This window comes from Homo sapiens, chromosome 2 (assembly GCF_000001405.40).
Source record: "Homo sapiens chromosome 2, GRCh38.p14 Primary Assembly".
Classification (NCBI taxonomy): domain Eukaryota; kingdom Metazoa; phylum Chordata; class Mammalia; order Primates; family Hominidae; genus Homo; species Homo sapiens.
The window spans coordinates 61,244,143-61,268,849 of record NC_000002.12 but is presented as its reverse complement, the minus strand read 5'-3'; the positions used below and the strand labels follow the sequence as shown (position 1 = coordinate 61,268,849).

Below are 24,707 nucleotides of genomic sequence, written 5' to 3'. Positions count from 1 at the left end.
ATTAGTGAGAAGGATGGTCCTTATTAATATAGTTGTAGGTGAATATTAAGCTAGAATGGTAGTGTTCATTAATTCTCTCTTCCTATTTTCTATTTTTATATATGTGAATTCTAAAAAACCTTATTTACATAATGTTTTTAGTGCACATGGAAGTTTTTGATAACTTTTTAAATTGAATTTCTTCTGAATTATAAGTCAAAAATTACCCTATTATCTATTGCTGTATTAGTTCATTTTGCGGTGTTATAAGGGAATACCTGATGCTGGGTATAAAAAAAGAGGTTTATTTGTTGAGGACTCAGGAGCCTTTTACTCATGGCAGAAGGCCATGAGAGAACAGCTGTGTCACATGGCGAGAAAGGGAGGTGGGAGGTGCAACACTTTTTTTTTTTTTTTTTTTTTTTTTTTTTTAACAACAGCTCTTGCATGAACTCAAAGAGTGAGAACTCACTCATTCCTGTGTGGTAGGTACCAGGCTCTTCAGGGATACACCCTGATGACTCGAACACCTCTCACTAGACCTCACCTCCAACATTGGGGAGCACATTTCACCATTAGATGTGGTGAAATGGGATTACAGATGTGAGCCATTGTACCCGGCCCAGTTTACAATATTTTATTACAGCAGCCTAAACAGACTAAGACAACAGTTCTTTTATTGGACAAATACCCAAACCATATCAGTCACCAAAAACTATTTTTAATATTCTCTGAGGTCATAGTCTGTGTAGGTTCTTCTTTCTGTGAAGTATATGAGTAGGTTCTTTCTGTGAAAGGCTTATAAAAATAAGCCCTTTGCCAGGTGCAGTGGCTCACATCTGTAATCCCAGCACTTTGGGAGGCTGAGGCTGGCGAATCACAAGGTCAGGAGGCCGAGACCAGCCTGGCCAACATCGTGAAACCCCATCTCTACTAAAAATACAAAAAATTAACTGGGTGCGGTGGCTCACGCCTGTAATCCCAGCACTTTGGGAGGCCGAGGCTGGCAGATGGATCACGAAGTCGGGAGATCGAGACCATCCTGGCTAACACAGTGAAACCCCGTCTCTACTAAAAAATACAAAAAATTAAGACCGGGTGTTGTGGTGGGCGCCTGTAGTCCCAACTAATTGGGAGTCTGAGGCAGGAGAATGGCATGAACCCGGGAGGTGGAGCTTGGGGTGAGCCGAGATGGCGCCACTGCACTCCAGCCTGGGCGACAGAGCAAGACTCTGTCTCAAACAAACAAAACCACAAAAAATTAGCTGGGTGTAGTGGCAGGTGCCTGTAATCCCAGCTACTTGGGAGGCTGAGGCAGGAGAATCGCTCGAACCTGGGCAGCGGTGGTTGCAGTGAGCCGAGATTGTGCCACTGCATTCCATCCCAGGTGACAGAGTGAGATTCTGTCTCCAAAAAAAAAAAAAAAATCTCCTAACCACTTTCCATATTTCCTAGCTAAACTTAACGTTTCTTTGCTAAGAACTATGAATTACACATTCTTTAACAATAGATGAAAGAGGTGAGGTCATTATGGAAAAACATTTCAAAAATTTCTGTTTTTGGTACGTCTTTCAAGAGTTTCCCTGACCACCCCCAGGTTTGTTGATTCACTAACTCACAGGACTCAGCATATAGTTATACTCATGGCTAAGATTTATTACAGCAAAATGATACAAAGCAAAATCATGAAAAGAAAAAGGTGTCAAGGCGAAGTCTGGAGGAAGCCAGTTGCAACTTAACCAAGGGTTGTCTTCCATTGGAGTTCCACAAGATGTGTTCAGTGAGCATGACAACGCATGTGATGTATTGTATACCAAGAACGTTCTCTTGAGCCTAGGAGTCCTTGGTTTTATCACAGGGTGGCTCATGTGGGCACATAGTGACTGGATAACTCACCATAGTTGCCCCAACTCCAGACTCCTGAAAGGAAAACAGGTCTTTAGCATAAACCCGTTAGGCACAGTGAGCCACTGTTTTCACTTAGAGAGTTTTGTATCAATGTAGGGAGCTGTTTACTTACCAGTGACGTTTGCAGACTGTAGGCAAAGGTCAGCCTTTCTGTGGGTATCAAGAGTCTCAGTCTTACTGTGCTATCTCTTTTCTGCACAGTACTCCAGGAGGTTTTATACTGCAGACCAATGTACCATAGTACTATTTGGGATGTGTGAGGGTGATAACTTGGTAAAATAGCAAAGGACCAATTAGAAAAGAATAAGTGGAAAAGATAACCCAGCACCCACTTTCTCAGACAGACTTAATTTTGGAAAAAGTACAACAGTACTACCTTTCAACAGTATAAGTAAACTGTTGATTTTGCCACTGTTATTGTTGCTATTATTTATTAGTAGAGTGAAGTAAGGGGAAAGTTAATGCAGAAGCGCCAGTCAGACTTGTCAAGGGAATAATGAGGCCTTAACAAAAACTTTACATCACTTAATGGAATAGAAAATAACAACATTGTACGTGAAGAGTCTAAGAATGAGCTTATTAGGTATCAAAAAGGAGAGAAGAGTAAAAGTTGATCGCCGCCTTCGTTTTCTCTTAAGAGAAATGAACACGGAGGACTTTCAGATGATGGTATATCATGCTGCTATACGTTTTTGAGTAGCTTAATTGTAGCCTGTCATCCTGTGTATATGTTAACTATATTTGGAATGTAATTAATATCTCAGTTTAGATAACATGTTTCCTTTTACTCCCCAGGAATTTTTGAGAGATATCTTCAATCTCCTGTTTTTGTTGCCAAGTCTAAAGGACCGACAACAGCCAAAGTGCAAATCACATTCTTCAAGAGCTGCCGCTTACGATTTGTTAGTAGAGATGGTAAAGGGGTCTGTTGAGAACTACAGGCTAATACACAACTGGGTTATGGCACAACACATGCAGTGTAAGCATTCTTCTTTTCCTTTAATCTTTATAGATTTTGAATTCAGAAATAAGATTTTGAGGGCACTGTTTAACAAAAGAATCTGCTCTTCACACACTTTAACATTATAAATGATTATTGGTAGGGTGTTATTAAAGTTAAAAAGTAAACATTGATGTGAAGGACCTTTTTATATGCATTTTAAATACTTCGGCTTTTTCTGTAAAAGTAATTTGGGGCCAAGTAAAATCAAGTTTTAAAAGTCTTGAATTTTTAGAGAATAAATTAGTTTTCATCTGTATTTTTTTTTATTTAAAAAATTCTATATAATGTTCTATATATATTAATGAGGTAACTAATGGAGGTAGAGGCTGTTAATGTAAGCAAAATACATTGTGTTTCATAGTTTGTTTGGGGGGGATCTTTTCCTCCCTCTTTCTTCAGCAGCCCATGCACCTTATAAATGGGATTACTGGCCTCATGAAGATGTCCGTGCTGAATGTAGATTTGTTGGCCTTACTAACCTTGGAGCTACTTGTTACTTAGCTTCTACTATTCAGCAACTTTATATGATACCTGAGGCAAGACAGGCTGTCTTCACTGCCAAGGTAGAATTTTCCTCACTTTAAAAATCAAAATTATAAACCAGATTTTAATATTTTGTTGATAAATTTTTATTTCAATGTAGTAAATGTTTGAAAAAATAATTTGTGAATAAAAGTAAATTTGATTACAGTAACTAGCTAATGTGTATTTTACATAGTTATACATTTTAGTAGATTACTCATAATGCTGTAGTACAGTTTAGTTCTCAAAGGAAAACACAGCTATGGAATATGCATGCTCAGTGTATACAATGAATATCATGTTGTCAGTAAAAACGCATTCACTGGGAGAACATATGAGAATAAAAAACAAAAATAAATAAATACATATTTTTATTACAGAGAAAATAAGGAAACCCTGAATCCAAGTAGAGAAGTATTACCAGAATCACTTAGCTTGTTTCTTTTATATTTATCCCAAAGTGAATCAAATTGTGGACCTAATTTGTTTGTGTAAGCTCTGCTTCATGTTATTTTTATTCACTTTCTAGTTTTCATTCTTTTTTACCGTGGGCTATTTTTGTTTTTTAAAATAATAAATAGAGATGAGGTCTCTCTGTGTTGACCAGGCTGGTCTCCAACTCCTGGCCTCAAGCAATCCTCCCATTTCAGCTTCCCAAAGTCCTGGGATTACAGGTGTGAGCCACCATGCCCGGCCAACTATGGGCTATTTTTTAGTTTGCCTTTTGTACTGCTTTTAGAGTTTTTTGATGAATTTCCTTTATACTTGCTCTTGGATTTTTTATTTTTATTTTTTTGAGGCAGGACTCAGTGTCTGTCACCCTGACTGGAGTGCAGTGGTGTGAGCACAGCTCACTGCAGTGTTGACCTCCTGGGCTCAAGTGATCCTCCCACCTCAGCCTCCTGAGTAACTGGGACTGCAGGCATATGCCACCATGCCTGGCGGAGTTTTTTACTTTTACTTTTTGTAGAGACAGGGTCTCACTGTGTTGCCCAGGCTGGTCTCAAATCCTGGGCTTACAAGATGCTTCTACCTTGGCCTTCCAAAGTACTGGGATTATTGGTATAAAGCTACCAAGCCTGGCCTCATCATGTTATCTTTTGTCTTGATTTCTTTTTCCCTGTTAAGTATTGCAGTGCTTTATATACTTTCACTGAATTATTTATTATGTTTAAGTTACTCTTTAAAGTCTCCAGTTCATAGTTTACCCAAGTGGTTCTGGGTTTTTTGGCTTTAGTTATTGATACTTTAAAATTTATCTCTGTACATTATGACTAAAAGTAGTTGAATGATTAGTTCATTTAGCTTATGGAAATATTTCTGAATAAATTTGGTATACCCATCTGCGTAGTCTTATAAAAGCAGTTATCAAAGAAGCATGTTTTCAGTGGTTTTCTTTTTAGCTGGCAACTTGGTCATGCTTCTTGGTTTTACTTCTTCATATTGATAACCACCTTTAAAGCTATTAACACTTCTAGGAATTAGTAGAAACAGAAGGAACACTCAGATGTGCTGATTATGAGTAGATCTCATAAACGGTATTTTTAGTTAAAAACTAAATTTACAAGCAGAAACAACCCCATTAGAAAGTGGACAAAGCAGCTTGGCCAGTATGGTGAAACCCTATCTCTACCAGATATACAAAAATTAGCTGCGTGTGGGGTGTGGTGGCTCACGCCTGTAATCCCAGCACTTTGGGAGGCAGAGGTCGGTGGATCACGAGGTTAGGAGATCAAGACCATGCTGGCCAACATGGTGAAACCCCATCTCTACTAAAAATACAAAAAAAATAGCTGGGTATGGTGGTGGGTACCTCTAATCCCAGCTATTTGGGAGGCTGAGGCAGGAGAATCCCTTGAACCCAGGAGGCGGAGGTTGCAGTGAGCCAAGATGGCGCCAATGCACTGCAGCCTAGGCGACAGAGCGAGACTTTGTCTCAAAAAAAAAAAAAGCCTTTGGCCAGGCGCAGTAGCTCACGCCTGTAATCCCAGCACTTTGGAAGGCCGAGGCGGGCGGATCACCTGAGGTCAGGAGTCTGAGACCAGCCTGGCCAACATAGTGAAGCCATGTCTCCTCTAAAAAATATGAAAATTAGCCAGGCATGATGGCAGGTGACTTAATCCCAGCTACTTGGGAGTCAGAGGCAGGAGAATTGTTTGAACCCGGGAGGCAGAGGTTGCAGTGAGCTGAGATCGAGCCATTACACTCAAACTTTGGGGACAAGAGCGAGACTTCTCTCAAAAAAAAAAAAAAAAAAAAAAAAATTCCATGTGTGGTGGTGCGTGCCTGTAGTCCCAGCTACTCGGGACGCTGGGCCAGGAGAATCGCTTGAACCTGGGAGGCGGAGGTTGCAGTGAGCCGAGTTTGTGCCACTGCATTCCAGTCTGGGTGACAGAGCAAGACTCTATCTTAAAAAAAAAAGTGGACAAAGGACATGAACAGACACTTTTCAAAAGGAGACATACATGCGGCCAATAAGCATATGAAAAAATGCTCAGTATTACTCATCATTAGAGAAATACAAAACTAAACCACAGTGAGATAACATCTCAAACCAGTCAGAATAGCTGTTAATAAAAAGTCAAAAAATAACTGATGCTGGCGATGTTGTAAAGAAAAGGGAATGCATATACACTGCTGATGGAAATGTAAATTAGTTCAGCCATTGTGAGAAGCAGCTTGGCAATTTCTGAAAGAACTTTAAACAGAATTACTATTCGGCTCAGCTATTCCATTGGGTATATACCCAAAGGAATATAAATCATCCTACCATGAAGACACATCCACAAGCATGTTTACCACAGCAGTGTTCACACTAGCAAAAACATGGAATCAACCTACATGCCCATCAACAGTGGACTAGATAAAGAAAATGTGGTACATATACAGCATAGAACACTATGCAGCCATAAAAAAAGAACAAGACCATGTCTTTTGCAAAAACATGTATGGAACTGGAGGCCATTATCCTAAGTGAACTAACATAGCAACAGGGAACCAAATACCATATGTTCTCACTTATAAGTGGGAGCTAAATATTGAGTACATATGGACACACAGGAACAATGGACGTTGTGTCCTACCTGAGGGTGGAGTGTGGGAAGAGGAACAGGATTGAAAAACTACCTATTGGTACTATTATTACCTGGGTGATAGAACAATCTATATACCAAACTTACGTGACACACGGTTTACCTATATAACCTGCATATGTACCCCTGAACCTAAAATAAGAGTAAACAGTAAAAAAAAAAAGGAGACCTGTGTACATATATTTCTATATCTATCTATCTATCTATCTATCTATATATATATATATATTTTTTTTTTTTTTTTTTTTTTTTTTTTTGACGAAGTCTTGCTTTGTTACCCAAGCTAGAGTGCAGTGGCGCGATCTTGGCTCACTGCAACCTCTGCCTCCTGGGTTCCGGCAGTTCTCCTGCCTCAGCCTCCCGAATAGCTGGGATTACAGGCACCTGGCTAATTTTTGTATTTTTAGCAGAGACAGGGTTTAACCATCTTGGCCAGGCTGGTCTCAAACTCCTGACCTCGTGATCCCCCCGCCTCGGCCTCCCAAAGTGCTGGGATTACAGATGTAAGCCACCGCGCCCAGCCAAAAATTCTTAACAGAATTTGATATGATTCTGGCAAGTACTCTAGTCAAGTGGGCACTTTATTCTTAAGATGAACACTTCAGTTAATTATATTATTCCCTTTTCTGATGCTCACATGAAGTTTAAAGAAAGCTACATATATTCTAATTGTGGTAAAATATATGCAACATTAAATTCATCATTTTAACCATTTATACATATATACAGTTGATGGGATTAAATACATTCACATTATTTTGCAGCCATCACCACCATTCCATCTTGAACTTTTTCACCTTCCCAACAGAAACTTGTTAAACACTTAACTCTCCATTCTCCCTCCCAACCCCCCTTGCAACCACTATTCTACTTTCCATCTCTATGCATTCAACTGTTTCAGGTACCTCATATAAGTGGAGTCAGATTTGTCTTTTTGTGACTGGCTGTGAGTGGCTTATTTCACTTAGGATATCTTCAAGGGTTATCCATGCTGTTGTATGTGTCAGAAGTTCTTTCCTTTTTAAGGCTGAATTATAATTTATTGTATTTACCACATTTTATTTATTCTTTCACTTATCAGTGGATACTTGGGTTGCTTTCACCTTTTGGCTGTTGTGAATAATGCTGTTACGGACATGGGTGTACAAACATGTTTGAGTTCCTGCTTTTACTACTTTTGGGTGTATACCCAGAAGTGGAATTGTTGGATCATATGGGAATTGTGTGTTTAGTTTTTTGAGGAATAGCCTTACCTTTTCCATAGGGCTTACACCGTTTTGCATGCATAAGGGTTTAATTTCTCGACGTCCTTGCTAACACTTGACATTTTCTGTTTGTTTTAATAATAGCCATCCTAATGGATGTGAACACAATTTTTTAAGTAGTAAATACATATAGATGCAGGCTATGTATTTATTTAAAAATTGCGCATTAAGTAAAATTCCCTTGTTGTTGCTTGACTTTAATAAATTTAGGCAGCTCTTTAGCCAACTCATACTTCATTCTCTAATAATAAAAATATAAATCCAGGTCTTTATTCCTGAACTTTTTTGTATCCTGAATCAATACTTTGATACGTTGGAAAATTTCATTTTGTGTGACTTTTTTCGTAATATGGAATATTAAGCCTCTCATATAACAGGAGTACACTGGAATTATTTTGCCAATTTTGTTGATTCCCTTTGTTCAATTCCTGTTGAGTTTAATATATAATTTTATAGTAATTATATGCTGAACAGATCTCTGTTTTAGTCCATATCTTGACTTCAATTTGATTATAAGCTGCTAAACAGCAGAGCCATATTACTTGCAGTCTTCCATAAAGCTGGCAAAAATAACTAATGTATACTCTTAGCTTGTGGACGCCTATTATTCCACAAGACTTTCAAAGTTATGAGAGGTAATAATTTGTAATAAGAATAATACCTACTTTATAGATTCATTTTAATACTTGAGTGAGGTGGAATATGTGTAATAAGTACCTTGCATGAATATGGATCTTTCCTATAAGGCTTGGTGTTCAATACTAAATCTCTAATGTGTGAGTCTAGCCAGATTCCTGAATTTGACTTATTGATAGTTGAATATTTAGACAGTTTTCAAAGATCCTGGCTGGTATTCCTCTTCAGTGTGAAGAATATACTGTTCCAGAAAGAGTAAAGATATGAATAAATGATGATGAGATGTCATTGGTTAATATTTCAAATGTATTTTTTTAATGTGTAGGTTTACTTGTGGAAGACAACTTTGATTGCACCTGAAGTGTTTTTCATTCTTGCATTCTTGGAAATCATCAGCATTGTACCAAATAAGTGTTAACCTAGAAAGTGATTTTTAAAATTCTCTCTTCGGTTTCCTTATAAGATAGTAATAGCTGTATTTATGTAACAAAGCATTACAATTTTTAATGCTATAATTACTAAAGAATTGAATGTGTTGGTGTTTTTCTTTTATATAGCCAAAAGAATGAAAACAGATACAGTGTACATTGCAAGACTTTCTTTGCTAGAATGCCTAATTTACTACCATCATGTCTGTGTTTTTAATGGTGTTTTCTCTTGATTTTCAGTATTCAGAGGATATGAAGCACAAGACCACTCTTCTGGAGCTTCAGAAAATGTTTACATATTTAATGGTATGTTTAAGAATCATGGAGGCTAGGCCAGGCACTGTGGCTCATGCCTGTAATTATAGCATTTTGGGAGGCCAAGGTGGGTGGATGGCTTGAGTTCAAGAGCTTGAGACCAGCCTGGGCAACATGGTGAAACCCCATCTCTACTAAAAAAAAAAATAAGCCAGGCATGGTGGTGCGTGCCTGTAGTCCCGGCTGCTTAGGAGACTGAAAAGGGAGGCTCGCTTGAGCCCAGGAGGCAGAGGTTGCAGCAAGCTGAGATCTCACTACTGCACTCGAGTCTAGGTGACAGAGTGAGACTCTGTCTCAAAAAAAAAAGAAACATGGAGGGAAACAAATTAGGTGTACCCTGTGACAAAACCTAAAAAAGTTAAATGGAGCTCGTTTGAACTGGCTTTGTCATAACTATGTACCTTTCTTTTTCTTACTTTTTTATTTATTTATTTATTTATTTTGAGACAGAGTCTTGCTCTGTTACTCAGGCTGGAGTGCAGTGGTGTGATCTCAATTCACTGCAACCTCCACCTCCCAGGTTCAAGTGATTCTCCTCCCTCAACCTTCCAAGTAGCTGGGACTACAGGCGCACACCACCACGCCTGGCTAAATTTTGTATTTTTAGTAGAGACAGCTTTCACCATGTTGGCCAGGCTGGTCTCGAACTCCTGATCTCAAGTGATCTGCCTGCCTCAGCCTCCCAAAGTGTTGGGATTACAGGTGTGAGCCACCGTGCCCGGAGCTGTCTGTCAGTTATCTCTGTTATTTGTCATAATAACTTCTAAAAGTTATCTCAGTTGTCTACATTCTGTTAATTTGTCCTTTGAAGAATCTGTTGTGTCTCATCCTTCTTCTGTCACAAGGTCCTCCCCTTTTATGCTTGCAGCTTTCTAGCTGATTTATCTTAGTATCCCTTAATTACAATGCCTAAAACTATAAAAGTGATCAATCTTTTAAAAAGATAGTAAATCTTACAATATTATTCCCCTGCTTAAAACTCTTGAGTGCTTCTTCATTACGAACAGAATGGTATTCGAGCTCATCACCATGGCACACACCCTCTGGGTTTTTTCCCCCTACCCTTCAACCTCCTATCTTATCCCTCTCCATTTGGAGCCCATCACCCTGCTGCTTCATTGCTTGTGGGTTTATTTATGCCATTGTTTCCTACCTGTGTCACTCTTCTCCATTTTCTTCTGATGTTCATTTTTCAAGAGTCAGCTTGGTTTCAAACTCTAAGAGACCATCTATTCCACAGATTAACCGGAGTATTCCAAGTCACCATGCCTCTTTGTTGTTTCTGCCTTGTATATATGTTACTTTTCTCACCTGTTAAATCTTGAGGACAGGGATTGTGTCATACTTCTTTGTGTATTTTTGACTATTTTTATTTTTTGAGGCAGGGTCTCACTCTGTCACCCAGGCTAGAGTTCAGTGGCACCATCTCGTCTCATGGCAACCTCGACACTGCTCCACTGCCTGGGACCACAGGCTTGTACCACCATGCCTGGCTATCTTCTTTATTTTTTGTAGAGACAGAGTCTCACTATGTTCCCCAAGCTGGTGCTGAACTCCTGGGCTCAAGCAATCAACTCGCCGTACCCTCCCAAAGTGCTGGGATCACAGGCATGAGCTATCATACCTGGCCTTTAATCTCCTTTTAACAGAGCTGCAAGTGCCATTTGAATTGACAAATAGAAAATTGCTGGTTTAAATGACTATTTTAAAAGCTATTAAAACAAAGTTCAATCTCTGGGAAAGTTTATTCGGCCTGTAAAGGTTGTATATTTTATGCTTTGCAATATAGATGTGAGTGTTTTTTTTGTTTGTTTTGTTTTGATTTTTTTGGAGATGGAGTCTTGCTGTTGCCAGGCTGGAGTGCAGTGGCACGATCTCGGCTCACTGCAACCTCTGCCTCCTGAGTAGCTGGGACTACAGGCATGCGCAACCGCACCCAGCTAGTTTTTGTATTTTTAGCAGAGATGGGGTTTTACCATGTTGGTAAAGGATGGCCAGGATGGTCTCAATCTCTTGACCTCATAATCCGCCTGCTTCGGCCTCCCAAAGTGCTGGGGTTACAGGCTTGAGCCACTGTGCCCGGCTGTGAGTCATTTGAGTCTCAGATTTCTTCCTAGAAATTCCTTGACTTGAAAATACAAATATCCTAGGTAATTTAAGAATCTTCTAGCACCAAGACCATTAAATTAAAAATACTATGAAAACTAAACAGAAAGAAATAGAAGCAACCATTTAAAACTAACTTAGTAGATTTACTACCTGTTCTTTTGTTTTTGTTATATGTTCATTGAAGAACCTATAATTTTCTTATTTTTATCTGACACTTAGAATGTTCCCCTTTTTATTTGCAGGAGAGTGAATGCAAAGCATATAATCCTAGACCTTTCTGTAAAACATACACCATGGATAAGCAGCCTCTGAATACTGGGGAACAGAAAGATATGACAGAGTTTTTTACTGATCTAATTACCAAAATCGAAGAAATGTCTCCCGAACTGGTTAGTATCAGAATACTGAAAAGTTTCTTTGAAATTTGAACAAATTTGCCTGCGTTTTAACTAGTTTCTTATTTTTTGTTTGTTTTATATTAAAGAAAAATACCGTCAAAAGTTTATTTGGAGGTGTAATTACAAACAATGTTGTATCCTTGGTAAGTATTATACCTGGTTTTTACTTTTTGGAGATCTTAATATATTTTCATTTATATTATAATTTACTAGTTTTTATTAATTTTTTATGTGTATTGATTAGGATTGTGAACATGTTAGTCAAACTGCTGAAGAGTTTTATACTGTGAGGTGCCAAGTGGCTGATATGAAGAACATTTATGTGAGTAATAATGCACATAATTTTTTTACTTTATGCTTTTACCTATTTGTGTATAGCGGGTTTGTGTTGGTCATCTTGATATTTTTAAACTTTTTTCATGTTTTTATGTATTTTCTTCTTACTGTACTATTCAAATAAGAGTTAAACATCAACCATAAAGCTTTTTCTTGCCCAATCAAAATTTAAATTTTTAATTAACCCTTCAAAAAAGTTACTAAGATTCATAGAATATCTTAATATGAGGAAAAACAGTTTTTTACTAAAATTTAAGAATTCACTTTTAAAAAAAAAATTTTTTTGCTGAGCATTCTGTCAAAATTGTAATTGCCACCTTTTGTATATTTGCATGCTATAAACAATAATATGAAACTTTTAAATGTGGTTTTATACACAGGAATCTCTTGATGAAGTTACTATAAAAGACACTTTGGAAGGTGATAACATGTATACTTGTTCTCATTGTGGGAAGAAAGTACGAGCTGAAAAAAGGTATGCTTTTTCAAATGTGATTTTTATTATGTTCACCGTAGAAGTGAAAGACAAACTAAGGGTAAACTAAGATTAAACTTTGGTGGAAATTATATGATGAAGGTAAAATCAGCTGCATGGAGCTCAGTCTCATGGAGCAACTTTTCATCTAGTTGTTCAGTGAATTACCATTTATTTTGACATATACTGAGCTGTATGAAAGTGGTAATCACTCAACTTGAAACAGTATAGATTTTGGGGAGCAGATACATGGACGATAAGTACATTGATCATTTTCATCATTATCTGTATCGAGTCTCAGATGTCTAGCTTTTGTGACATTTTCTTAAGTAATACAGTGGAACCCCTTATCCTCGGGAAATGTTGCAAGACCCCACAATAGATGTCTGAAACCTCAGATTGTACTGAACCCTATATATACTGCTTTTTGCTGTGCATAACATACCTATGATAAAGTTTAAATTACAAATGAAGCTCAGTATTCTTGCCCTTTGGGGCCATTATTAAGTCAAATAAGGGTTACTTGAACAGAAGCATTGCAATACTATGACAGCCCATGTAATAAGAGAGCTACTAAGTGACCAATAAGTGGGTAGTGTCTGCAACACAGATAAGCTGGACAAAGGGATGATTCATATCCTAAGCAGGATGGTACAAGATTTTATCATGATACTCAGAACACCACACCACTTATGAATTGTTTATTTTTGGAATTTTCTGTAGTAGCTAACTAGGGACTTTTTGTACTAGCTAGCCTTTCCAAAGTATTTTTTATTTAGCAAGCACTGTTGTGAGAACTTTAATCCAGTTAATCCTCACAGCATTTCTTTGCAATAGATGCTGTTATTATCCCCATTTTACATGTGAAGACATGGAGTCACAGAATAAAGAAACTTTCCCAATGCTGATTCCTAAGATACAAATAAGCAAATTTCAGGGAGATAATCAAGTTGAATTTGAGTTCTCATTGGGGCATCCAGCTAGAAAGGTCCTGCAGGCAGTTGGCTGTTACAGTTAGAGCTTGGTGAGAGGTCTAGAATAGAGGTAGATTTGGGAGTTAGTAACTGTTGAGTTAGAGTGTTAAATAAGTGTTTATACTATAATACATTCAAGCTGGTTCCCTTCCAGTGTATTGTTGTTATCTTTGGATGTGTATATTTTGGTACATTGATCAAAAATATTCTTCCTCAGCTTTCATTTTCAGTAGAATTTCTTGGAAAATAATAATTTAGTGGTCTTCAAATAAAAATTGCCTTACACATACAGTGGGTCCCATCTGTAATCCCAGCACTTTGGGAGTTCAAGGATGTGCACTTGAGCCCAGGAGTTTGAGGGCAACATAGGGAAACACTGTTGCTAAAAAAGTTTTAGAAATTAGCCAGACGTGGCATGCACTTACAGTCTCAGCTGTTCGGGAGGCTGAATCGGGAGGATCACTTGAGGCTGGGAGGTAGCTTACAGTGAGCCATGATTGTGCCATTGCACTCCAGCCTCGGCAAAAAATTGAGAACCTATCTCAAAAAAGAAAAAAAAATGCTATACTTGTTCTACTAATGCGTGCCAAACATTATACAATTTTTTCCCTTTATTATTATTCTTTGATGATTCACATGTTCCCCAGGTTGGTCTTGAACTCTTGGGCTCAAACAATCCGCCCACCTCAGCCTCCAAAAATGCTGATATTACAGGCATGAAGCCACTGCACCTGGCCAAAAGGCTCTTAAGAGCCATAAAATGGCAAGTTTAGGACAGAGTAGTTGAGTAAACATTTTAATTTTATATTGAAAGACAAATAGAAATCGGATTGAAAAGAGCATCTTATGCAGTTAGTTACTAAGAACGAATGCAGAGAAATAGAAATGTCCTTGAATGTGCAAAAAATCTAGGATTAGGCCAGCCTGCATTTTTAAGTAGTGTATTCACATGGAACAGTAGTGGAAAACAAGATTGGTAACACGATGGCATCAGATTATTGCCATCCAAGTTTTAGGTTTATCTGTGTGATTGAATCTATCAGAATATCTGCCTGAGAAATAATGTAATTGTTGGAAAAGACTTAAGAGCTAAGCCAACCTAAAAGTACAGAGGACAAAGTGACAGAAGAGAGACAAGGAAAGAAAGAAAATTAGGATAAAATGGTAACCCCCAAACTGGGAGGAGAATCTCAAGAAGAAAATAATCAATTAATATAATTCACAGAGATGAAAGACAATGACAGCTGAATAAAAGCATTGGGTTTTTCCAGAAGGTAGTTTAGTGATGTGTTTTGTCAGGTTATAGGAATAGAAGCAACATTGTCGGGACACATGGAATCAAGCATAAATCATTGATTTTTAAAGTTTGGCAACAGGCCAGGCACGGTGGCACATGCCTGTAATCCCAGTACTTTGGGAGGCCAAGGCAGGTGGATTGCCTGAGGTCAGGAGTTTGAGACCAGCCTGGCCAACATGGTGAAACCCTGTCTCTACTAAAAATACAAAAATTAGCCGGTTGTGGTGGCTCACGCCTGTAGTCCCAGCTACTTGGGAGGGTGGGGCAGGAGAATCACCTGAACCTGGGAGGCAGAGGTTGCAGTGAGCCAAGACCATGCCCCTGCACTCCAGCCTGGGTGACAGAGCAAGACTATGTCTCAAAAAAAAAAAAAAGCAATAAAAACAGCAAGGAAAATAGTAGCCAGAAAGAGTCTTGGGGCTCAAACAAAGGATTTTTCTAGATGAAAGATATCTGAGCATGTTTGAAGGCAGAGAATAAAAAGTCATTATACAATAAGATACTAAAATTGCTTAAGAGGAGGTTTTCCAGGTCAGTATTTATTTGAAAGGGATGGTATTCATTTTTCCAATTTCAAGAAGGGTAGTTGGGCAAGTTGTTAGGTGGACATAGTCAAATGAAAGCGTAGCTATGTAGGCAATTACACGAAGAAGACAAACTCATCTGATGAGAGTTGGGTTAGGATAAGAGTTAGGGACGTATATAAAATGGAGTCAGTCAAAAGTTAACTGCTGTAGAGGAATATAATAAATGAGTCACCAAAAGATCATCAAGGGTCTGAGTCAAGTTCTTTGGAGAATCTCTAATTGGAATAAATGTATTGAATAAATCTGTCGTTCTTGATAACTCCCTTCTTTTGACTGATAAGATTCTGCTGTTTTTCTGAAATACCTGTCACATCTCTCCCAGGTAGTCAGTCATTTTTGTTCTTACTATACTTTTATATCTCTGTACTAACATAATAATCAACAGAAATGGGCCAATTGAGGAAGTGAACAAAGTGCTTATTATCCTCAATAGGATCATATACTGTTCTATTTTCAGACCTCTGGTTTTCTCAATCTATTCATTTTACCTCAGTAACTTATCAATCACCATAATACCAATTTTTTACTAATATGCTACTGACAAAGCATTCTAAACTAAGAAAATGACAGCTGAATAAAAGCATTGGGTTTTTCCAGAAGGTAGTTTAGTGATGTGTTTTGTTTTGTTTTGTCATCTTAGTTTAGAATGCTTTGCTGTGCTCTGTCACCTGTTCTCCAATCTTTCTGGATCTGCTCATCTCTCTTACTTATTGACACAATGCATGGTTTCACCCCATGCCACAAGCTCATTAGTTATTCTTCAGAATTGTTAGGATGAAGTTCACACTCTATCATTACATACATTTGACTCTGTTATACTTCATTTGTCAGTCTCCCAAATAATCTAAAATAGTGAATTTTTGAACTTTTTATTCCCTCTGCCTGTAACATCTTTCATTCCTTGTTTCCCTAAATTCATACTTTTTGTATTTTTGACTGTGTTCTTGGTTTAAATAAATTCTCGTTTGATATTTATGTGCAGTGGAAAATTATTCCCTAAAATTCATTTTTTTGTAAATCAGAGTTTGTATATTTTTGTCTGTTTAAATTGAACTTGAACTAGCAATATGTTATGGTATAGGATTTAGGTGACCAGTTGATTTTCTGCTGTTGCTGCTGCTGCTGCTGCTGCTGCTATTGTTACTGTAGTAGCAGCAATTGACACTTAACTGAATGCTGTTTGCCAGGCAGTGTTTCAAAGATAGTATCGGGTAGGTAATCTCCATTTTACAACCCAGCAATTGAGCTCAGAGAGGTTAAGTAACTTATATAGGGTCATTCATCTAATAAGGGATTACAGCCAGACTTTGCAATTCTGGTTCACAAAAATAAGTACTTTGATTCCTTTTATTTAGGGAAGAAAGGAAAACTCTGAACCAAAGACCTCCTTGGCCCTGGAGAATGATGGAACTCCTTTTCATGCTTCCATAGCACCCTTTTGTATCTTTATCATGGTGTTTACCGTAGTCTACCATAACATTTTATTTTTCTTATCTCGACATAGGAAAATCTTTTCAGAATGGAAAAAGTTGTGGGTGTGTTTGCTGTTTTTTTTTTTTAAACAAATTAAAATGTTTATTTAACAACCGAATTGAGTACGGAAAGATGAAACAAATGCACAGTCACGTATATACAGTATATCAAGGGGGCGGCCTTTCTAACAAGGATGCTGTAGAAAGAAAAAAATGTCCAAATGGGGAACAGTCCTGGTTTCATCAAGAAGCTTTTATGGCATTTGATGTTAAACCTTATGTAAATACAGTAATCTGATGGATTTGGCAAAGATTTTTTTCATTTCCAGTCTTTTAAAGTAGACACAAATTTGCTTAGAATAAAGCTGATTTTTAAGAGCACACAAAAGTTGAGGACAAAGGATAGGAATAAATTAACAAATGCAGAGTGATGAAGAGTAAAAAGATACTGAGCAGCTGACTCATCATCCAAGGTGGTTACCTAATAATCAGAGGATGAAGACCTTATACTGCAAAAGCAACAATAGTTTCGTATATAAACGATACAGCTGAGTTTGTAGTTATATCTTGGCTTCTATTTATTAAGAAAAATTAGCATAGTTATGTGTAATCTTTAGTAGACAACCTGCATTCATTTAAATTAAACAATATTTTCTACAATAGTGTAATATAAGGCCACAATATTTATTTTGAACAAACTCTTTAAAGTAGTGATTTTAATATCAGTGTTATTCATTCTTTTGAAATATAGTTTTTTAGCTGAATTAAGTTATAGATAATTTTTACAGTACTACATCAAGACTAGTAAAATTGTTTGTATTCAGATATTTATGTCTAATATCCAGTGAAAATTTACTACCAAGTTTTTACAGTAGATTCGTTTATTTATTTACTTATTTATTTATTTATTTTTTTTGAGATGGAGTCTCGCTTGATCACCCAGGCTAGAGTGCAGTGGCACAATCTTGGCTCACTGCCAGCTCCGCCTCCCGGGTCCACGCCATTCTCCTGCCTCAGCCTCCTGAGTAGCTGGGACTACAGGCGCCCGCCACCACGCCCGGCTAATTTTTTGTATTTTTAGTAGACACGGGGTTTCACTGTGTTAGCCAGGATGGTCTCGATCTCCTGACCTCATGATCCGCCTGCTCCAGCCTCCCAAAGTGCTGGGATTACAGGCGTGAGCCACCGCACCCAGCCTACAGTAGATATTAATCATTCTGACTTGCCTATTGATCCCTTAAGTATAATTGTAGATCGGCCTGATTTTAGTGTCTATTCTTTGATTTTACTAAATTAGGAATGCAGGAGTTACAGAACAAGTACACACAAGTGATGCAGCCATACAAGGATCATAACAGCTCTTCAATTAACTATGTGCAAGCTCAAATACAATCCCACTAATGAACAGCCAGGTTCCAATTCTTCATGAAAAGGTGCTGGTGGAGGTTGTCAGCCACCTTTTAATAGACATTCCCAATCCAGTGGCCAGTAAATGAGAGAACAGCAGAGATGGAAGAAAAACCTTCAGAAATTTTGCAGAGAATATGCCCTCTTTCTTCATGATGTTTGTGTTTCTCATGCTGAGAGTGGCCATGCATGTGGGGTGTTTAATCTATAAACAGGAGAGACTAACAGTACCTTCCTTATAGGATTGTTGTAAAAAGTATATGCGTTAATGTACAGCAAGCCCTTATGAGAGGAACTCCTTGGGGGGAATATTTTCTGGTTAACTCAACCAATCCCATGTCCAATCTGAGGTTTTTCTTTCAAAATGCTTTCAACTTCTTTCCTTCTCTCAATATAACCTTCCTCAGACTGAGAGCTGTTTTTCTTTTCTTTTTTGAGTCTCGCTCTGTTGTCCAGGCTGGAGTGCAGTGGTGTGATCTTGGCTCCCTCCAACCTCAGCCTCCCGAGTAGTTGGGATTACAGGCTTGTGCACTACCGCACCCAGCTAATTTTTATATTTTTAGTGGAGACATGGTTTTGCCATGTTGGCCAGAATGGTCTCGAACTCCTGGCCTCAAGCAGTCTGCCCACTTTAGCCCTCCAAAGTGCTGGTATTACAGGCGTGAGCCACCGCGCCTAGCCTGAGAGCTGTTTTTCTCTCCAATGCTATGGCTGGCTGTTTCAGCAGCTCTGTTAGTATCTTCTGATGTCTGAGAGCGAGGTATCCTGTCACAGTGAGAACTCTTGGAGATATTCTGTCCAGACTCATGCTGGGCATCTAGTAGTACTTTTTCCATGTCACTGGTAGAAACAGAAACAGGCTGGAACACTGCCCCCATTCCTATTATTGCTAAAGTGTAATTCTGCCAGGAGCCCTGCAGACTCTTCTTCTGCATCGTGGGGACTCTGCTCTGTGACATGGTGCTAGAGGGTGGCTGCCAGGCATCGGGCTGCCCTTCAGTGGTGGGCCGTTGGAAAAGGGCGAGCAGGAGTGCTGCTGCCTAGTGCTCAGGGACTGACTGTATAGTTTTAATAAGAATGTGATTTAGAATACTTCTATAGTCTCCCTTCTCTGTGGTTTTTCTTTCTGCAGTTTGTTACCTGCAGACAGGCAAGGTCTGAAAATATTACATAGAAAATTTCAAAAATAATTCTTAAGTTTTAAATTGCCCACTGGACTGAGTAGCATGATAAAATCTGGCACAGTCCCCACCTGGGATGTAAACCATCCCTTTGTCCAGCATGTCCATGGTGTATACACTACTTGTTCATTAGTCACTTAGTGGCCCTTTTGGTTACCTTCGCAGTATTGTACTGTTTGTATTCAAGGAACCTTTATTTTACTTAATGGCACCAAAGTGCAAGAGTAGTGTTCATTAACAGTTGGGCTTTGCCAAAGAGAAGCTGTAAAATGCCTTAAAGTTCTCAATATGAAAAGAAAAAAATCATACGATGAGGTTGCTAAAATCTGTAAAATTGTGAACAGTGTATTGTTAGAATTGTTCTATTTTATTAATACTTGTTAATCTCTTGCTGTGCCTAATTTATAAATTAAACTTTATCTGGAATAGGGAAAGAAAACATACGATGAGGTTGCTAAAATCTGTGAAATTGTGAACAGTATATTGTTATAATTGTTGTATTTTATTAATACTTGTTAATCTCTTGCTGTGCCTAATTTCTAAATTCGCTTTGTCATAGGTATGTTGGTTTAGGAGAAACCGTAGTGTATATAGAGTTTGATACTGTCCTCAGTTTCAGGCAGACACGGGGTGTTCTCAGAAGGTATCCCCTGTGGATAAGGGGAACTACTATACTTCTTAACTCTGAGTTGAAAATTGAAATGGATATAGCATAACAGAAATCAAACCAACTGAAGTATTTGTAAAAAATAATCTTTATTAATTTTTTTCTTGTCTCTCAGGGCATGTTTTAAGAAATTGCCTCGCATTTTGAGTTTCAATACTATGAGATACACATTTAATATGGTCACGATGATGAAAGAGAAAGTGAATACACACTTTTCCTTCCCATTACGTTTGGACATGACGCCCTATACAGAAGATTTTCTTATGGGAAAGAGTGAGAGGAAAGAAGGTGATTTTTTCATTTCTTTCTCTTGTCTGTGATTATTGTCAATCTCCATAACAAGGTAGGCATAATTATAAAGTTGTCATCAACTACACAGTTAACAAAAATTGAATCTTAGAAGGGAGAAGGTTAAGACAATGTCATGCATTCAGTCAGTTAACCAGTAAATATTTAGTATCTACTAGGACTATGTTCCTAGGCACTCTTCTGTATACTGGAGACACAGTGGTGAACAGGATAAGCACGGTTGTTGCTCTTGTGGAGCTTAAATCTCGTGGGGTAAGTCTTTTTATGTTGTTTTTTGTGGGGGTTTTTTTTTTTTTTTTTTTTTGGTCTTCTGAGACAGTCTTATTTTGTCTCCTAGGCTGGAATGCAGTGGCATGATCTTGGCTCACTCCACCTCCCAGGTTCAAGTAGTTCTTGTGCCTCAGCCTCCCAAGAAGCTGGGACCATAGGCACGCACCACCAGGCCCAGCTAATTTTTGTATTTTTAGTAGAGACAAGGTTTCGCCGTGTTGGCTAGGTTGGTCTCGAACTCCTGACCTCAGGCAATCCACCTGCATTGGCCTCCTCAAGTGCTTGGATTACAGGTGTGAGCCACTGTGCCCGGCCTCTTGCTCGTTTATCCTTCTTTAGGAAGGGTGCAGTGAGTTGAGATTGCACTACTGCACTCCAGTGTGGGCGACAGAGCGAGACTCTGTCTCAAAAAAATAAAAATAAGTTGTAGGACATGGACCAGTAGAGATGACAGGTGAAGTTAAGAAGTGGGCATTGTATGTATACATTCTACTTTTTAGACCTATTATTAAACCATTTGAAAAATTAGACAGGTGCAGTGACACATGCCTATGGTCACAGCTATTAGGAGGCTGAGATGGGAGGATCACTTGAGCCCAGGAGTCCAGGGCTGCAGTAAGCTATGATTATGCCACTGCATTCCAGCCTGGATAGTAGAGCAAGACTCCATCTATTTGAAAAAAAATTTTTTTCTGGAAGAGTAGAGCAGAACCTCCTCACAGCTGTGCTTCATTATATTTCTTGTGATGTTTCCACTTGTGGAGAGAGCAGAATTTATGCCAGGATAAAGGAATTTGTTAGGCCACAAGTGATGCAGTCAGATCCTGGCACTGCCTCCATAAGCATATCTACACTCCTCAGCCACTGTCTTGACACCTTGAGTCATACCCTTCTCTTACTGACCTAATTATCTCTTCATGTTCCAGTTCAGACTGTACCCTCAAGTCAGCCAGATCTCATCATTTCCTTATTCTGTATTCTACTTTTCCCTTTCTGTGTGGTAGTGGGAATACAGATCATAAATCATACATCATCTTCAAACTTATTAGACCACTCTACATTTTTTTTCCTCAGTATCTTTTATTACCTTTATATTTTAAATCTTTGGGGATAGGAAGTGTACCTTTTTCTTTATTTTGTTTCTGTCTACACAAATCTCTTAATACGTAGTGTTTTTTATTAACTGATATATATTTGGAAGCTGCCAGTACATTGGTTCGTTTTCCTTTTTTTTAAAAGGAAACCATGTTTAAACCACTTTTCTTAACATGAGAATAAAAGAAGTATGCTAATTCCTTTTTAGGTCTTAGGTTTGTCTGCTCCTAGTAAAGATTAAATAGAATGGAGCATTTTATATTACCTATTTCAAAAGATTAGTCAGATTAAAGAAATATTTTATATTTATACTTTATATTGAAGTTGTCCATAATTATGTATTAACACATGGTTGTTTTTCTAGTGGTTTGTTTAATATGTCCTTTATGGTAGTAGGCTAAGGATGGTGAATGACTAGCAGATAGTTGTTTTGTACCTATTTAACATATAAACTATTTGTGCCTATTTCTGTAAATAAAGTTTATTATAAAAGTGATTCTAAGTAACTCGTCACATTGGGAAAATTATTTTTATTTTATTAAAATGACTTAAAATATTGTAATTGATAAAGTTTATTTTAAAAAGTGTTTCTAAGTAACTGTTGTGAAGTTTGGAAAATTATTTCCATTCTGTGTAAATCATTTCAGGTTTTAAAGAAGTCAGTGATCATTCAAAAGACTCAGAGAGCTATGAATATGACTTGATAGGAGTGACTGTTCACACAGGAACGGCAGATGGTGGACACTATTATAGCTTTATCAGAGATATAGTAAATCCCCATGCTTATAAAAACAATAAATGGTGAGTTTTAAATATTTCAAAACTTCTTTAACAATTTATGGTAGTTTTCTGATATGTTTTCAGTGTTTAGTTTTCTAAAAACTTGCCACAAAAGTTGGAAATGAGGCAGACAAAATTTTTAAATGAAGATAACTTTCAACAGACAGTGTAAATCAGTTCTTAAACATACGGATCTTTTAACTCTTGAGAATTTGAATCCTTTCCTTGGAGAAATGAACACAGTTTTGCAGACAACTTTAGGAGATTTATAGACAACATTTCAACTCTTATCTTCTCTATTCATTCAAGAGCTGTTCATTGAATATCTTCTACAGTGTAGCCTTATATGTGCCATTAGAAGTTACCTGCATGCTCTGCTTGTTTCACCTCCTATTGGGAGGACCACACACACTTCTTTTTATCCTTTTATCAAGTTAATGGTTGGAAGTCATTAAACCAGTCCCCAGTACCTGTTTTTTGGTCTTCAGATATTGTTAGGTAGGGTCTGGCCTATAGGTACTATATGTGTGCTAGGCACTGTTCTAAGTGCTGGGGATATTGATTTGAAGAAAATGTACAATTGTTAATTGATTTTCAGTTAGCAGAATAATTTCATTGAGTTATTTTTCACTCCTTCACCCATCAGGTCCATGGTGCCTTTTCCTTTTTTTATCCATTTGAATGTTTCCATAAGTATATTTTGAATCTTTTTTTGATCATAAATTTTGAAATGGTACCTTTGAAAGTTCTCCCAATCTCTTAATTTTTCCTAATAGCGTTACATGTTATATTAAAGCAAACTTTTTTATTTCTTTTATGAATTCTTTTGTTAATCCTAGGTCATAAATGGATCTATCTGATTATAAGGTGCTTAAGAATATGTTATAAAATTATATTTCCAATTTCTAGTAGATTAGAATTGTAAAAATAAGAACTTAGAATTTACCTCATGAAATAATTTGACACTTGTAACATTGGTTATTCAAAAAATAGTAGACATAATATGAAGATACTCATTATATGCATACTAGATTAATACTATATGCTCTATTTTAGGTATCTTTTTAATGATGCTGAGGTAAAACCTTTTGATTCTGCTCAACTTGCATCTGAATGTTTTGGTGGAGAGATGACGGTAAGTTTTATTCAGAAATTATAAATGGTTTGTGTCCTTCCAAGTGCTTTGTCATATCATAAAATCCAATAGCAGAGTCGCTTAACTTTCTTTTAATTGCTATGATTAAATCAAAAATTTATTCAGTTTATATTTATTGGAAGTTTAGTATGTTCTCAGAAATATTTTTAAAGTGCTATTTCTGCTTTCCACAACAGCCCGATTAAGAAGGTAAGAGAAATAAAAAGCTTAGTAGTATGGGAGTTGAATTACAGTGCCATGAGAATAAGATTGAGTAAATTGTTTACTCAGTGAATTCTGTGGGATCAGAGCAAAGAGAAATTACTGTTTACTGACTTAATCTGAAAAATCTTTGACAAGGGAGTCTCTCTTAGCTTACTGTGGCTCAAGAGGCTACCTGATTCACAATAAGAAAAAAAGAAATTAAAAAAATGTTTGGCAAGGAAGTTGGCTTGAGCTAAGTTTTAAAGGATTGTTCTTTCAGTGCTTTTTATAACACCAGCAGCAACCTGGATAACACTAGATACTGGATAGAAAAAGGACATCTTCTATGTGACATAATTGAGAAAAGACTTTTTTTTTTTTTTTTTGCCCCCAAGTCGGATTCTTGCTGTGTCGCCCAGACTGGAGTCAGTGGCGCGATCTCGGCTCACTGCAACCTCCACCTCCTGGGTTCCAGCTATTCTCGAGTCTCAGCCTCGGGAGTAGCTGGGATTACAGGTACCTGCCACCATCCCCAGCCAATTTTTGTATTTTTAGTAGAGGTGGAGTTTCACCATGTTGGCCAGGCTGGTCTCAAACCCCTGAACCCAAGTAATCCACCTACTGCAGCCTCCGAAGTGCTGGGATCACAGACGTGAGCCATGGCACCTAGCCAACAATAGATATTGAAAAGACATTTGGGTTGGAGTATTGTAATAATTTCACTTCTCTATAGGCAGTTTATCCTAGTATCAATTTTCTGAGAACTGTTTTAAAATATTCTCTTGATTCTCACAAGACAAATATTAGTCATTTCCGTTTCATAGATTAGCCCAAATAAAGTTGTTTTTTTGACTTAACCATAT

The 24,707-nt window shown here is 37.6% G+C and overlaps 1 protein-coding gene and 1 pseudogene across 1 annotated transcript in view, besides 1 other annotated feature; one reads left to right on the top strand and one right to left on the bottom strand.

The window, feature by feature from the left end:
• USP34 (ubiquitin specific peptidase 34) overlaps positions 1-24,707 on the top strand; it is a 283,625-nt gene that overhangs the window by 202,238 nt on the left and 56,680 nt on the right. The window contains exons 42-51 of the mRNA NM_014709.4: positions 2,683-2,866; positions 3,293-3,453; positions 9,074-9,139; positions 11,500-11,646; positions 11,742-11,798; positions 11,900-11,977; positions 12,372-12,466; positions 20,167-20,339; positions 22,373-22,526; positions 23,562-23,640. Of these exons, the coding sequence (NP_055524.3) occupies positions 2,683-2,866; positions 3,293-3,453; positions 9,074-9,139; positions 11,500-11,646; positions 11,742-11,798; positions 11,900-11,977; positions 12,372-12,466; positions 20,167-20,339; positions 22,373-22,526; positions 23,562-23,640 (1,194 nt within the window). The remainder of the gene's footprint in view (positions 1-2,682; positions 2,867-3,292; positions 3,454-9,073; positions 9,140-11,499; positions 11,647-11,741; positions 11,799-11,899; positions 11,978-12,371; positions 12,467-20,166; positions 20,340-22,372; positions 22,527-23,561; positions 23,641-24,707) is intronic.
• Positions 18,229-19,070, bottom strand: BNIP3P45 (BNIP3 pseudogene 45; annotated as a pseudogene).
• Positions 21,362-21,656: a silencer, noted in NCBI's record as "tiled region #13579; HepG2 Repressive non-DNase unmatched - State 15:Elon, and K562 Repressive DNase matched - State 15:Elon". NCBI's record gives its function as "represses a minimal TATA promoter and a strong SV40 promoter by Sharpr-MPRA in HepG2 and K562 cells {active_cell/tissue: HepG2 | K562}" and the evidence as "EXISTENCE:reporter gene assay evidence [ECO:0000049][PMID:27701403]".